At 51.0% G+C, this 14,485-nt stretch overlaps 1 protein-coding gene across 19 annotated transcripts in view, besides 1 other annotated feature; it reads right to left on the reverse strand.

The window, feature by feature from the left end:
* Nucleotides 1-14,485, reverse strand: part of RIMBP2 (RIMS binding protein 2) — a 320,167-nt gene that overhangs the window by 259,700 nt on the left and 45,982 nt on the right. The gene's annotated exons all lie outside the window — the stretch shown is intronic.
* Nucleotides 4,962-5,461: an enhancer, noted in NCBI's record as "H3K4me1 hESC enhancer chr12:131145339-131145838 (GRCh37/hg19 assembly coordinates)". NCBI's record gives its function as "activates a minimal SCP1, AML or CMV promoter by ChIP-STARR-seq in naive H9 embryonic stem cells {active_cell/tissue: H9 hESC(naive)}" and the evidence as "EXISTENCE:reporter gene assay evidence [ECO:0000049][PMID:30033119]".

Consider the following 14,485-nt stretch of genomic DNA (forward strand, 5'->3'; position numbering starts at 1 on the left):
GACAGAGCAGCTCAGGTCAAGGCACAGGCGACGGGAATGTGGGCGGAGGCACCACGCAGCCCATGGCAGAGGAGACAAGAGGGAAGATGCTGGGAGAGCCAGGAGTGAAAGGAGGATGCTGGTGGGAGCGCTGTCCTGGAATCCAGCCCTTCTGGGGAATGGAGGAAGCTCTCTCATGTCCATCTTAGAGCATGGGTTCCAGCAAGGCCGGCCTGCAGGCTTGGGGCTGGGGACACGGTGGAGGGTGGGGAGAAGGGACATGGCCAGCTGCTCTGCCAGCAGAATAAAGAGAGGTTTCTGTGTGGGCCCCGGGAGGGCCAGGAGCGAGAGAGCGAGCCTCGGTTTGTCTAATGTTCTATGGAAGATGGTTCTTAAAGGGGTTGGGGGACCCGGCAAGAATCACAAGGGAGCCATCTGAGAGGCACCTTCCCTCCCACAGGGGAAGGGAGGGAAGAGGAGGACGAAGTAGGATCTCCAGGGACCCCTGGCAGGCAGGGGCTAGAATTCTGCCCGTCCCAGTGGGGCTGGGCCAGCTCCTGACAGCGTCATACAGAGAGAAGCTTTCCCTTTCATGTCCCCTCTCCTGGGACTAAGCCAGTGCATTTGTGTCCTGAGGCAAACAAAATGCCACAAACCAAGTGTCTTAAACAACAGAAATTTCCTCTCTCAGCTCTGGAGGCTGGAAGTCTGAGATCAAGCAGCCCCAGCAGGCCTGTTTCTTTCTGAGGCTGTCAGGAGAATCTGCCCCGGGCTCCCCCTGACTCCTGGCAGCCTCAGGCACTCCTCCGCTTGTGAGCGACCTCCCCGCGTCTTCACACCGTCTTCCCTCCACGTTTGTCTATCTCTGTGCCCAAACTTCCCCTTTCTAAAATTTTTATGTTATTAACTTTCTAAAATTTATGTACTAAAAAAAAAAGCAAGATCTCATTAGCCGGGTGTGGTGGTGCACACCTGTGGTCCCAGCTACTTGGGAGGCTGAGGTGGCAGGATGGTTTGAGCCTGGGGGGAGGAGGTTGCAGTGAGCCAAGATTGCACCACTGCACTCCAGCCTGGGCAACAGAATGATACCCTGTCAAAAAAAAATTAAAACGGTCTCACTCTTTCACCCAGGCAGGAGTGCATTAGTGTAATCATAGCTCACTGCATTGAACTCCCAGGCTCAAGTGATCCTCCTGCCTCAGTCTCCTACAGACCTGGGACTATAGGTGTGTACCACCATGCCTACTATTTTTTTACATTTTTATTTCTAGAGATAGGGTCTTGCTATGTTGTTCAGGTTGATCTCAAACTCCTGGGCTGAAGCAATCCTCCCAGCTTGGCCTTTCAAAGCTGGGATTACAGGTGTGTGTCACCACACGTGGCCAAATTTCCCTCCCTTAAAGAACACTAGTCATATGGGATGAGGGCACATCCTCATGTCCTCATCTTAACTTTGCCCATCTGCAAAGACCCTATTTGCAAATAAGGTCACATTCACAGGTACTGGGAGTTAGGACTTCAACACCTTTGTGGGATGGGAGGGCCACAATTCAGCTCATAACAGCCAGGAAATAAAGCAGAGATCACCCCCTCTACACACACTGCAGGCTCCCAGCCGGAAGCAGGCCCCGGGAGGAGAAAGAAAAAGTTCTAAGTTCAGACGAGGTCAGATGTGGTTTGGATATTCTCATAACTAAACTGATAGAGCTTGGGGGATGGAAGACAGAGAAAGATCCATCGTCGAAGCAATGCAGCGGCATCCACCGGCACCTCCGTCCAGGGCACAGGGGAGAAGTGACCCGCAGAAGGGCTGTGCGGGGGCAGTGAGGGCAGAGGATGGAGCCCCAGCTGCGGGGGGCAGTGAGGGCGGAGGATGGAGCCCCAGCTGCGGGGGGCAGTGAGGGCGGAGGATGGAGCCCCAGCTGCGGGGGGCAGTGAGGGCGGAGGATGGAGCCCCAGCGCACTGGGCCCCAGGTCCCGCCTTCCACTCAAACATTTTATCTCGTTTCAGTGTGCGATCCCCAACCTCTGATGTTACACGGAACCAGCTACCCAACGAGTTGTTTTTTACATTTCCCTTTTGGTGTTCTATTTATCTGGCCTTAAACAGGCCTGGCTGAGAATATTTAAAATCAGAGAACGCACGGCTGGACACAAGGCAAACCGTATTCCACACGCGCATTTGCTTAGGAGCAGAGTTCAGCAACGTGACGCTGCCTCCCAAGGGCTTGGGTTGTTCCCCCATCCTCTCTCCACGACTCCGTCCCACCTTCCCAGTACTTAAAAGACGACGGCAGTAACCAACAATGAATGCCCCAGCTCAGGAGAGCAGCTTTGTGACCGGAAGGCCACGGCTTCCAGGAGCCTGAGGAGGGAAGGTCAGCCCTGAGGAGGGAACAGCACAAGCCAGGCTCGCGTGTTGACATGAAGGGTTCTCTGAGCCCAGCCTGAGCAAATACTAACACACACCGCCTGTGCTGGCTACTGTCTAGCAGCCACTGGTCCCGAAACTCCACACAGTCAGGCCATCTCTGAAGCCGCCAACACGCACCTACCTTCTGGGCAAGAACACGAATCTGTCATTTGCACTCGTGTATTTGCAATCGGTGCGAACACTCACAGTCTCTATGCTGCATGTGGGGAACACGCAGCCATTTCAACTATGAAAAAAAAGAAGACGGCAGACAACAGTTTAAAAAAAGGAGACCAGGAGCATCATATTTCACTGAGTAAATTGACAAAAGGTCAAAAAGCTTGATCTTGGCCACTGATGTGCTTGGTCTGAAAGCTAAACTGCCACTTAAATATTCATAGGCAAGCGCGGTAGCTGCAGCCTCCGGTTGCCCTGAGTCCACAGAGGAGCAAGGCTGGGGCCATTTTATGAGAAAAAACAAGCTCCCTCCCGAGCCGGGTTCTGGGCAGGAGAGGACTCTGCTCCTGCAACCAGCCCGCACCCGCTGAGCCTTCGTTGCTGTGTCCTGTATCCCAGAAGAATGTGAGTGATGGTCTTGCACAGGGAGGCGGGTGGCAATAGACCAGGCGGAGATGCAAGTGCACAACGTGAGAAAAAATGCTGAAACTCTCGGCTCTAAACCATGCTCTTGGCATCCTCACCTCACTCAATCTCCCTTCCTCCACCATGCCAACCTCCCTTCCTCCACCATGCCAACCTCCCTTCCTCCACCATGCCAGCCTCCCTCCCTCCACCATGCCAGCACAGGGACTCCCCGTAAATCATCTTCATCCCCCTTTGTGGAAAGACTGAAGATCTGTATATGACAAGGTCAAGAGTGGGCTCACCCAGTGCTATCCAAGAGAAACACCGTGTCAGCCACCTGCATAACTTTACACTGTCTAGTGGTCACCTTAAAAAAAGTGGAAAGTAACAGATAAAACTAATTTTCATATTTTATTTCACTCAATGTATCCGAAATATTACCATTTCAACATGGAATGAATAATTAAAATTATTAATGTCGGCCGGGTGCGGTGGCTTATGCCTGTAATCCCAGCACTCTGGGAGGCCAAGGCAGGTGGATCACGAGGTCAGGAGATCGAGACCATCCTGGCTAACACGGTGAAACCCCATCTCTACTAAAAATACAAAAAATTAGCCAGGCGTGGTGGTGGCGCCTGTAGTCCCAGCTACTCGGAGGCTGAGGCAGGAGAATGGCGTGAACCCGGGAGGCGTATGTTGCAGTGAGCCCAGATCATGCCACTGCACTCCAGCCTGAGCGACAGAGCGAGACTCTGTCTCAAACAAAAAAAAAAAAGTGGAAGTAACAGATAAAACTAATTTTCATATTTTATTTCACTCAATATATCCAAAATATTACCATTTCAACATGGAATGAATTAATAATTAAAATTATTAATGCCGGCCGGGCACGGTGGCTCATGCCCGTAATCCCAGCATTTTGGGAGGCCAAGGTGGGCAGATCATCTGAGGTCAGGAGTTAGATACCAGCCTGGCCAACATAGTGAAACCTCATCTCTACTAAAAAATACAAAAATTAGCCAGGCATGGTGGCATGCACCTGTAATTCCAGCTACTTGGGAGGCCAAGACAGGAGAATTGCTTGAACCCATGAGGAAGAGGTTGCAGTGAGCTGAGATCTTGTCACTGCACTCCAGCCTGGGTGACAGAGCAAGACTCCATCTCAAAAAAAAAAAAAAAGAGTTATTAATACTATTTTACATTCTCTTTTCTTTTCCCGCACAGGGTCACTCTGTCACCATGGCTGGAGTAGTGGCACAATCTCGGCTCATTGCAACCTCCACCTCTTAGGCTCAAGCAGTCCACCTGCCTCAGCCTTCCAAAGTGCTGTGATTACAGGCGTGAGCCACCACGCCCAGCCCATTCTTTTACTACGTCTTCAAAAATCTTAACATGACACATTTCTGTTCAGTCAAGCCACAGTTCCAGAGCTCGATGGCCACAGGTGGCTCCTGTGTCTACGAGACAGGCAGAGGGCCAGGCTAGTGCTGCACCATGCATTCAGGAAGGGAGCAGGAACCTCCTCTCTTCATTCTCTACCCTTCTCTCTGGAATCTCATGGGAATCTCCTCTCGGTGACTGTTCTTATTGCCACGTGAACAACGGACCAAGGAGGATGGAGGTCTCTGAGGAGGGGCAGGATTCTGGTGGGAACCGTATGAGGGGAAACTGGGAGACAGGCATGGCCTGAAATGGGGTCGTGAATATGGAGAAATCTGGACGAAGCTGGAGCCTCAGGGTTGGAAGAGTTGCGGTCTCTGGGCTGGTGAGCACAGACTCCAGCTGCCTTGAACTCTGGGGCCCATGACAGAAACTACTCTCCTGCCCCATGCTGGAGGCTGCAGGAGTGGGGCCACCCTGCCTGCGCCCCCACCCCAGGTTCGGCTCTTTGGTGGGTGAGGTGGGGGCCTTCCCTGGACCCTGTTTCTCTGATTGAGCATTTGACGTAAAGACGCCAGAGCCCCTTGAACCCATGTGCAATTTCACATGGCGGCACGCACCAGGGCTCTGAAGTATCACAGCTGGCGTGTCACGCAGGCCACCTGCATCATGGCCAGGCAGACTTGTATTCAGACACACCACCCACCTGCCCTCTACAAGCCCCATGATGTTGAAAATGACATAATTGGCCCAGCACGATGGCTCACGCCTGTAATCCCAGCACTTTGGGAGGCCAAGGCAGGAGGATCACTTGAGCCCAGGAGTTCAAGACCAGCCTGGCCAACATGGCAAGACCCTGTCTCAAAAAAAGTACATAATATCTCAGATTCTCAATTTTCTTACCTTAAAACCAGAATAACTGCCGCGGTGGACAGCTGCCATTCGCAGTCTGTATTCCAGCAGCCATGCCTCCTCTTGGTGGCAAGGACACCTAGCTTTCCTTGTGGACTAATCTATTGTTCCTCAACTGAGTCCAGGTGATCTGGGTGCCCCTGCTGCTTAGGGTCAGTCATGTGACCACACCTTAGCCAATCGGAGGGTATCATTCTCCTGGGCACAGTGATTGGCTCAGGGCTAGACAGGTGAGCTGAGCTGGTAATTAACTAGTAATTAACTAGCCTCAGCATTGTTGTGGGAGTTATACAAAAAGGCTCCTTTCCATGGCCCTCTAGCCCAGAAGCATGTGAGCCATTGGCTGAGAAGTGCAGAGAGACCAAGAATCTACACACAGTATTTGAGCTCCTAAACCATTACTGGTCATATGACCCCTTTGCACAAACTAAAAAGAGGTGCTGACCGCTGACAACTGTCTAGTGAGGTGAGCAAATCTGCAGTGCTGTGGTGTGTGTAGCAGGCGTTAGCATCTGATGTGGCATAAAGCTTACGTAACTACACGCAATGACCCTATCAGTGCCCAGCCTCTGACAGGTCAGTCTCACTAATAAATTCCCCTCTCTGCTTAAGCACAGTTTGGGTTAGAGTTTTGGTAACTGATGAATCAGAGCTGATGCAATAACTACGGTCAGTGAAGACAAAATGAAGCCACCTAGATAAAAACCCAAGCCTCGCACCTGCAGAGTAGCCCCTTCATGAGTATGCATCTCTGTTCCCGGTCACGACTGTGGAAATGAAGGTTCCAGAACTCTGAAAGTCTGGACTGTGTTCCCTCTTCTCTGCACTATTTCTGTATGTGTCACATGAGCAAGACCCTTAGGAGCTCTGAGTCTCAGCTGTGCAGGACTGAAATCACCTGGGCTTACCTACTTGGAGGGAATGGGGCTGCACTAGGTGCTTCTGCAGGCTGCAGCTGGCCCCACGCCCCAGCAGGGGTCACACGGACTCCATTGCCCTGAGCACTCCCTCCCAGGTGCATTCATTCCCGCTCATCACACAAGACCTGGGGTCTCCAACAAATTCCCTAAATTTCACCCTCAATCCAGCCAGTAGCTGACCCGTCACGCTCTGGGGAGAGGTCAGTCTGGGGCAATTCTCGCCAATGTGAAGGGTGCATGAGGGCTTGCACAGTTCGAGTCTCGCGTCTCCTCCTTGGCCAGGCTTCCTGCTTATGTTTCCTAGGCCAGCCAGTTTCAGCACCAAGCCACCTGGGAAGCTTTTAGGAATCTGGAGGCGGAGCGCGGTGGCTCACGCCTGTAATCCTAGCACTTTTGGAGGTTGAGGCGTGTGGATGACGAGGTCAAGAGATCGAGACCATCCTGGCCAACATGGTGAAACCCCATCTCTACTAAAAATTCAAAAACTAGCTGGGCATGGTGGTGTGTGCCTGTAATCCCAGCTACTTGGGAGGCTGAGACAGGAGAATCACTGGAACCCGGAAGGTGGAGGTTGCAGTGAGCCAAGATCACACCCTTGTACTCCAGCCTGGTGACAGAGCAAGACTCCGTCTCAAAAAAAAAAATCTGGATAGGCTGGGCACAGTAGCTCACACCTGTAATCCCAGCACTTTAAGAGGCCAAGGCAGGAGGATTGCTTGAGCCCAGGAGTTTGAGACCAGCCTGGGCAACATAGCAAGACCCCATCTCTACCCCACAAAGAAAAAATAGCTGGGTGTGGCGGTGCACTCCTATGGTCCCAGCTACCTGGGAAGCTGAGTTGGGAGGACTGCTTGAGCCCAGAAGGTTGGAGCTTCAGTGAGCTATGATCATGCCACTACACTCCAGCCTGGGTGACAGAGTAAGACCCTGTCTAAAAAAAAGAATCTGGATGTCCCAGCTGTTCCATAGGATAATTAACCAGAATCTCTGTGGGTGGGAAAGAAGGCACCTGGATATTTTTAAACCATCCCAGGTGGTTCCCACGTGCGGCCAAGTTTGGCTCTAACACCTTCAACCAGCAGGTTCTGCAGGCAGGAGGGGCCGGCTGGGTTATTTTTGCCAAGTATCAAGAGGATAACAGGGTGGAGGGAGGGCTGGGATGACTGATGGTCAGAGGTCAAGTATCTGCCACCTTCCTCCCCTCCTGCTCCACCCCCTCAGAAGTTGCTGTCAACCATCCTAAAGACAGAGAGGAGACAGCCCTGTCCATGCGCCCTGAGACAGCCTGGGAGGGGGCCAGGCACCTGTTGACAGAATTTCTGGCCTTTCATGGATTCAAATCCACATGTCTGGCCAAAGAATAAAATAGTGATTTCAACTAGGCAAGTTCAGCAGCAGACAGAAAGCTTTTATTTCTTAAAATTGCCTTTTTTTCCACTGAAAACAGGAAGAAACACAACTAAGAGTAAAAATTAGGTTTATAAAAGTACAAAGTGCCAGAAACATAAATAGATGACTCACCAAAAAGACACTAAAATGCCACTCAAAAAATGAAAAGATGTTCAACTTCACCTGTAAGAAGAGAAATGCAAATGAAAACTACACTGAGATACTCTCAAACTGGCAAGTTACCCAGCCTAGCAGCACCGTGACATGGGTGTCCCCAGACGCCTCTGAGTGGGGTAGGAGTCAGAACGGAACTTCCCGCTGGGTACTTTAACGAAGTTTTGGGTTCACTGGCTTCCTGACTGGCAACCCTGCTTCTAGGAATTTACCCTCAAGACAACATAAAAATGGCCTTTAAAGATATGCAAATACATATGCACAGGTTATTCCATACCGGTTTGTTAATAATTGTGAAATACCAGAAACAGCCTAAATGCTCACACATACGAGGCAGGTTGAATAAGCGCTGTCTTCACACAGCGAAGAACTGTGCAGGACCTGAGGAGGGGAGATCTCTGTGAAGCATTGTGGAGCAATTTCCAGGCTATATTGTGGGTTTTTTTTAAAAAATCTATTGTTTTAATTGACAAAAAGAATTGTGTATATATGTATTGTATATCTATAGTAACCCCTAGGCTCAAAAAAATAAAAATAAAAAAGAAGTGTCAACAAATACTGAACCCCACTTGGTAAAGTCTTTTCCCCTAGGATTAAGCAGATAAATATGTATGTTGCCTAAAATAGAATCCAGGTTTCTCAGTCTCAGAGGAGGGAGTTGAAATACAGAAAGAGGAGAGGCTGGAATAAAACATGTGCGGTTAAACTGGATTTGAAGGCATCAAATAGAGATAAGTTGGAAATAGACACAGAAATACACACACACATGCACACACATATGCACGTGCATGCACGCACGCGCATGCACACACACGCACGCACGCACGCACACACACGCACACACATGCATGCACGCACACACGCACACACATGCACGCACACACACGCACGCACACGCATCACACACTCCCCATCCTGGCTCTGTCGACTACAGGACCTGGAGGTCATGACACCTCGGCTGTCATGAGCACTCCTCACACCCAGATCTTGATTTCTAAATATCACTCGCCACCCAGAGAAGCACGGGCTCCTTCAGGAAGGGGCTAACTCTACAGCTATGTCAGAGAAAGTATAGGTTGATCCTACAGCATCTCATTTCATAGAAAGTAAAGAGGGACTCAGAAATGACAGCCACGTGTCCAAAAGACATGGGAACCAGCTTTGAAGGAGCTCCCGCTGACCTTTCAATTTCAGCTTTAAAATAATGGCAATAAATTTAACCTTGGAATAAAATAAGAATCCATCAGTCCATACTGATATAAATGAACATAAATAAAGGGGGGCGGGGCAGGGAAGGCTTTCCTGCCAAGGATGGGCCCATTCACAGAGGCCGGAGGGACAACAGGAAAACTGCCCCTTGTACTAATCAATCAACCGGAACAGCGAGCTGTCTGGACCAGAGCCGCCCTCAGCAGGTGTGAGCAGCATGCTGGAGTCCGACGAGGAACCAGAGTCTCCACTCACTCACCAAACCCTACCACAACTCCTGGCTTCACCAAACCCTACCACAACTCCTGGCTACGTGAAGAGGGGGCCCTGGGAATTTCACAGGAGAGCAATTCAACCATGTGATCAAGTTAACATCCCCAGTAACATGACATCCTGAAATCACGTGTTTCCTGATGCCATGCTCCGAGATGGAGGCAAATTCCTGAAAAAACACAACACCCCAGCTCATGCCTGTAATCCCAGCACTTTGGGAGGCCGAGGTGGGTGGATCACTTGAGCTCAAGAGTTCAAGACCAGCCCGGGCAACATGGTGAAATCCCATCCCTACTAAAAATACAAAATTTAGCCAGGCACAGTGGAGTGCACCTGTAGTCACAGCTACTTGGGAGGCTGAGGCAGGAGAATCACTCGAACCCGGGAGGCAGAGGTTGAATTGAGCTGAGATCGTACCACAGCGAGCCGAGATCACGCCACTGCACTCCAGCCTGGGTGACAGGGCGAGACCCTGCCTCAAAACAAACAAAAACACCCAAATCTAATTGTGAGGAAACATCAGACAAACCCTCCGTGAGGAACCTTCTGTAAAACTACTGTCCTTCACTCTTCAAAAATGGTCCAAGGGAAGAAAGACAAGGAAACATTACAGGTTAAAGGGGATTAACTGGACGCCACCAGTAAAAGTAGTACCTGGTATTGGATTGGATCCTGGACCAGAAACACACACACACACACACAGCTCTAAAGGACCTTATGGGGCAACTGAGACCATCTGACTGCAGACCCATCACGATACTGCAGCCATGTTACACTTCCCCCTCTTGATTATTTCCTGTGGTTTTGTAAGGAATGTTCCTGCTCTTCGGAAATGCATGCTGGGGCACGTATGGGGTGAAGGGAGTATCACATCTGGAACTCACTCTCAAACACCATTTGCCTCATCCTGTCTCCCTCTTTTTCTGAATCATCTGACAGCAACTTGTAGATAAGAGAGAAAGACAAAGCTAACAGGACCCAAGGCTGGCAGTGAGTGGATCCTCAGGGGAGGTGTATGGGTTCTATCTCTGCACATTTTTTTGGTAAGTGTGAAATTATAGCAAAATTAAAAGCTACCAAAAAAGATCCCCCTTCTTTCTAAAATTAATACTAAAGGGCCTAAAACAAATGAACACAGAAGCACACCTGGGAAGTTGTTATTTTATCGGAACTATGCAAGGGATATGGAAGCAGCAAGTGTGCAAGAAGAGAGAGTCTAAAACATGGCACACCCCTCGCTTCTAAGGGGCTTGGCACAGGTCACCAAACCCTGGAGGACTCTCTGTTTACCCACCAATGCCACTGATGAGCCACTCTGCAATACAACGGCACCAAGCAGTATTGTCTTCCTTTATCCTAATGCTCAAAAAACTGCATATATTGCTAAAGGCAGGACTGCCTTTGCAAGACAAAGTTTCAGTCCAAGATACCAAATTGTGAATCACACTCAATGCACCCCAGTTTCACTATCGCCTGCTGTGAGCTCAATCCTGTGTCCTACAAAGGAGAGGTGGTAACTATCCCCCATACCCAACACAGATCCTGGCACATAGAGATCAGTCAATAATGTTTACCAAAGGAAGGGAGGGAGGGGAGGGATGGAGGAAAGAGGGAAGGACAAGGGAATGAGGAGGAAGGGAGAAGGGGAGGAAGGGAGAAGGGAAGAAGAGGGGAAGGAGGGAAGGAGTGAGGGAGGGAAGGAAGGAGAGAGGGAAGAAGGGAGGGATGGAGGGAGGAAGGGAGGGAGGAAGAGATGGAAGAAGGGAGGGAGGGAGAGAATGGAGGGAGGAAAGGAGGGAGGGAGAGAAGGAAGAAGGGAAGGAAGGAGAGAACGAAAGGGAGGGAGAAAGAGAGGGAGGGAAAGAAGGAAAAAAGGGAGGGAGGAAAGGAGGGAGAGAGGGAAGGAAGAAGGGAGGGACAGAGGGAGGAAGGGAAGGAGGGAGGGAGGGAGGGAGAGAAAGAAGAAGAGGGAGGAAGGGAGGGAGGGAGAAAAGGAAGAAGGGAGGGAGGAAAAAATGAGGGAGGGAGGATGGGAGAAAAAAAGGAATGAGGGAGGGAAGGAAGGAGAGAGGGAGGGAAGGGAGGAAGGGAGGGAAGAAGGGAGGGAGGGAGGAAGGGAGGAGGCAAGGAGTGAGGGAGGGAGTGAGGGAGGGAAGGAAGGAGAGAGGAAGAAAGGAAGGCAGGAAGGAGGGAGGGAGAAGAGAGAGACAACATCCCTGTCTTTCAGGGGAGAAAAGAGACTTGACAGTTTCCTGCCCCAGCTGGAAACAGATGGCTCACTTAAACTGGATAATTTGAAGAGCATGAATAGAGGAATTGTTTACAGAGTTGTCACAGGATACAGGAATCAAAAAGACAGTGATGTTTCCACAGGCTGGCAAAATCTGGAAGCCCACCCTTGTGAGAAGAGAGAAGGTATGAAGCGGCATGGGAGGAGAGCAATGTGGGGCAGGCGCTGTGGGTTTGGGGAAAGGGATGAAGCTTCCAGCAGGGAGGAAACAGCCACCACCCTGCTTCCTTCCAGCCAGGACCCCTGGTGAGGGGATCATGCTGAGCCCCTACACAGCTGCAGGCGGAGGACTGGTCGTGAAGGAAAGGTGGACCTTGTGATTAGAGGTTTGGGGCTTGGAGCCAGGTGATATCAGCCTGACCCCCAGGGAGGGCGGGGGCTGGAGCTGGAGTTTGATCACCTGGCAATGACTCCCATCAATCACACCCATGGAATGAAGCCCCAGTAAGAACTCTGGCCACCGAGGCTCAAGGAGCTTCCTTGCCAGTGATAGATGGGGGTGGTGCCGTGTCCTGAGGATATGGAAACTTCACATTTGGGACCCTCCCTCAGACCTGGCCTTGTGTGTCTCTTGACTTGTGTCCTTTATGACAAATCTGTAATAAGTATAGCACTTTGCTGAGTTCCCTGAGCCATTTTAGGGAATTTTCAAACCTGAGGGGGTTGTGGGAATTCCTCAGGTTTGCACCCAGTTGTTCAGAAGCACAAGTGGCCCGAAACCGCTGCAATCCCTGAAACCACCTCCCTGGAGCTTGTAACTGGTGTCTGCAGTGTGGGGGCCTCAGGTGGACCATGCCCTTAACCTGCGAAACCCGACCCAATGCTGAGGAATGAGTGTCACAATTGCATTGAGAGCAAGTTCAAAGCGAAGGTGACGGTAAGAACACTCGATAACATTTTAGTGCTTCCAACATACGGGGTCCTGACCCCAGGAACTACTCAGCCCCACAAACAGCCTGTATGGCAGGGCAGCCTCAATGTCCTAATTTTACAGATACAGGGCCTGTGGCTGAGAGATATGGACCTGGGACGGGAGGCTGCACAGAACGTCTGCAGAGTGCACAGAAGAAACATCGGGCAGCCTGCGCGCCTCCTGCACCTGAGGAGCTGCGAGGGCAATGGAGGCAGCATGTGTGGGATGAGATGGTCAGATGGTCAGATCCTGGGGTCCAGGTCCAGCCCATGCTGAGGTCTGAGGGGAGTGGGTGGATGAGCAGAAAGAACACTCGGGGGCCATAGGCAGGTGAAATGGTTTTATTCAGCAGCAGCTCTCATTAACAGCTTTCTCACACTGGCTCTTTACACCACCTGCCCAGTCTCGGCTGCTTGAGCCGGTGGCTCCCACAAGCAGCTGCATGGCCGGCTCTCCCCTGCCCTCAGGGTTAGCAGCTTAACTCTTTCTCTCTCTGGGCACAGCACAAGCTGTGCCATGCCATGCCGTGCCATGCCAAGCTATGCCCTGGCTCCCCAGATGGACAGCTCTGGTTCTCTCTCTCTTTCTCTGGGTGCCAGTGCACCCTCCATGTTAAGCCAAGTTGAGCCAAGCCAAGCCCCGAGAGCCCCTGTACAGCGTTAGCAGGGCAATTATACCTTTTGCAGACAACAGTGGCTCAGAGCCATGTATGAACTTAAACAAACAGGTTATATAACACGTGGAGGTGTGCGCCTGCGTGCCGAACTCACTGAGTCACTCTGGCCAGACATGTGCCTCGACCTATCCTTAACCAAACACATCCATGTATCTTACAGAGACCAGCGGGAAGAGAATTCTGCACAGGGAACAGCCCAAACCAGGGCACAGGGGTGAGAGGGGACACGGGACTGTGGTGAGACAGACATGGCTGGAGCAGCAGGACTCACGCCTGGGCTGGTGGGGCAGTGTTCACGGCACAGCATGCAAATAGCACGTGCTTGATAACTATGTAATAAATAGGCTAAAAACTGGAATAGTAGCTTGCACTAACAAGATAAGACCCAAGGGAAGACACATCAGATGATATGGCTGGGCTCTGTGTCTCCACCCAAATCTCATCTTGTATTGTAATCCCCATAATCCCCACGTGTCCAGGGAGGGACCAGGTGGGAGGTGATTGCACCACGGGGCGGTTTCCCCGTGCTGTTCTCGCGAGAGTGAGGAAGTTCTCACGAGATCTGGTGGTTTTATAAGGGGCTCTTCCCCTTTCACAGCTCACTCTTCTCTCTCCTGCCACCCTGTGAGAAGGTCAAGCTTGCTTCCCCTTCACCTTCCGCCATGGTTGTAAGTTTCCTGAGGCCTCCCCAGCCATGTGGAACTGTGAGCCAATTCAACCTCTTTCCTTTATAAATTACCTGGTCTTGGGTATGTCTTCATTGCAGTGTGAGAACGGACGAACACACTAGGAATGCAGGAGCTCTTTCCTAGTGCCTGTGGTCAGAATACCCTTTCCGAGTGTGCCAGGATTCTTCTCTCTAAGCAGTGTAGCCACTGACGGTGAAAACCACCCAAGAAGTAACAAGCACCGTCTTCAAGTGTCCGTACTTGGGATCTGTGGTGGGTTGAAGGCCGGGGCTCAGTAACACACATTTAGGCCTTTTTCCACAGAACCTAAGAATGTCGCCTTATTTGGAAAAGAAGCTTTGCAGATATAATTAAATTAGGGATCTTGAGATGAGGAGAGCATCCTGGATTATGCAGGTGGGCCCCGAATCCAATGACTGCTGTTTTTATAAAAGACTCACAGAGGAGCACACAGATACACAGAAGAGGAGAGGGTAATGTGACCCCGGGGGCAGACACTGGAGTGATGCTGCCAGGAGCCCAGGAATGCCTACGGTTGGGAGAGACAAGGAAGAGGCCCTCCCTTGAGCTCTGGGAGGGAGCACAGCCCCGCCGACACCATGATCCCGGCCCCAGGACCTCAGACTTCCGATCTCCAGAACTGAAGTTTTAGGACTCTATATTTATGGTGATTTCTTACTGAT

The sequence above is a fragment of the Homo sapiens genome, chromosome 12, assembly GCF_000001405.40.
Source record: "Homo sapiens chromosome 12, GRCh38.p14 Primary Assembly".
NCBI classification, from domain to species: Eukaryota; Metazoa; Chordata; class Mammalia; order Primates; family Hominidae; genus Homo; species Homo sapiens.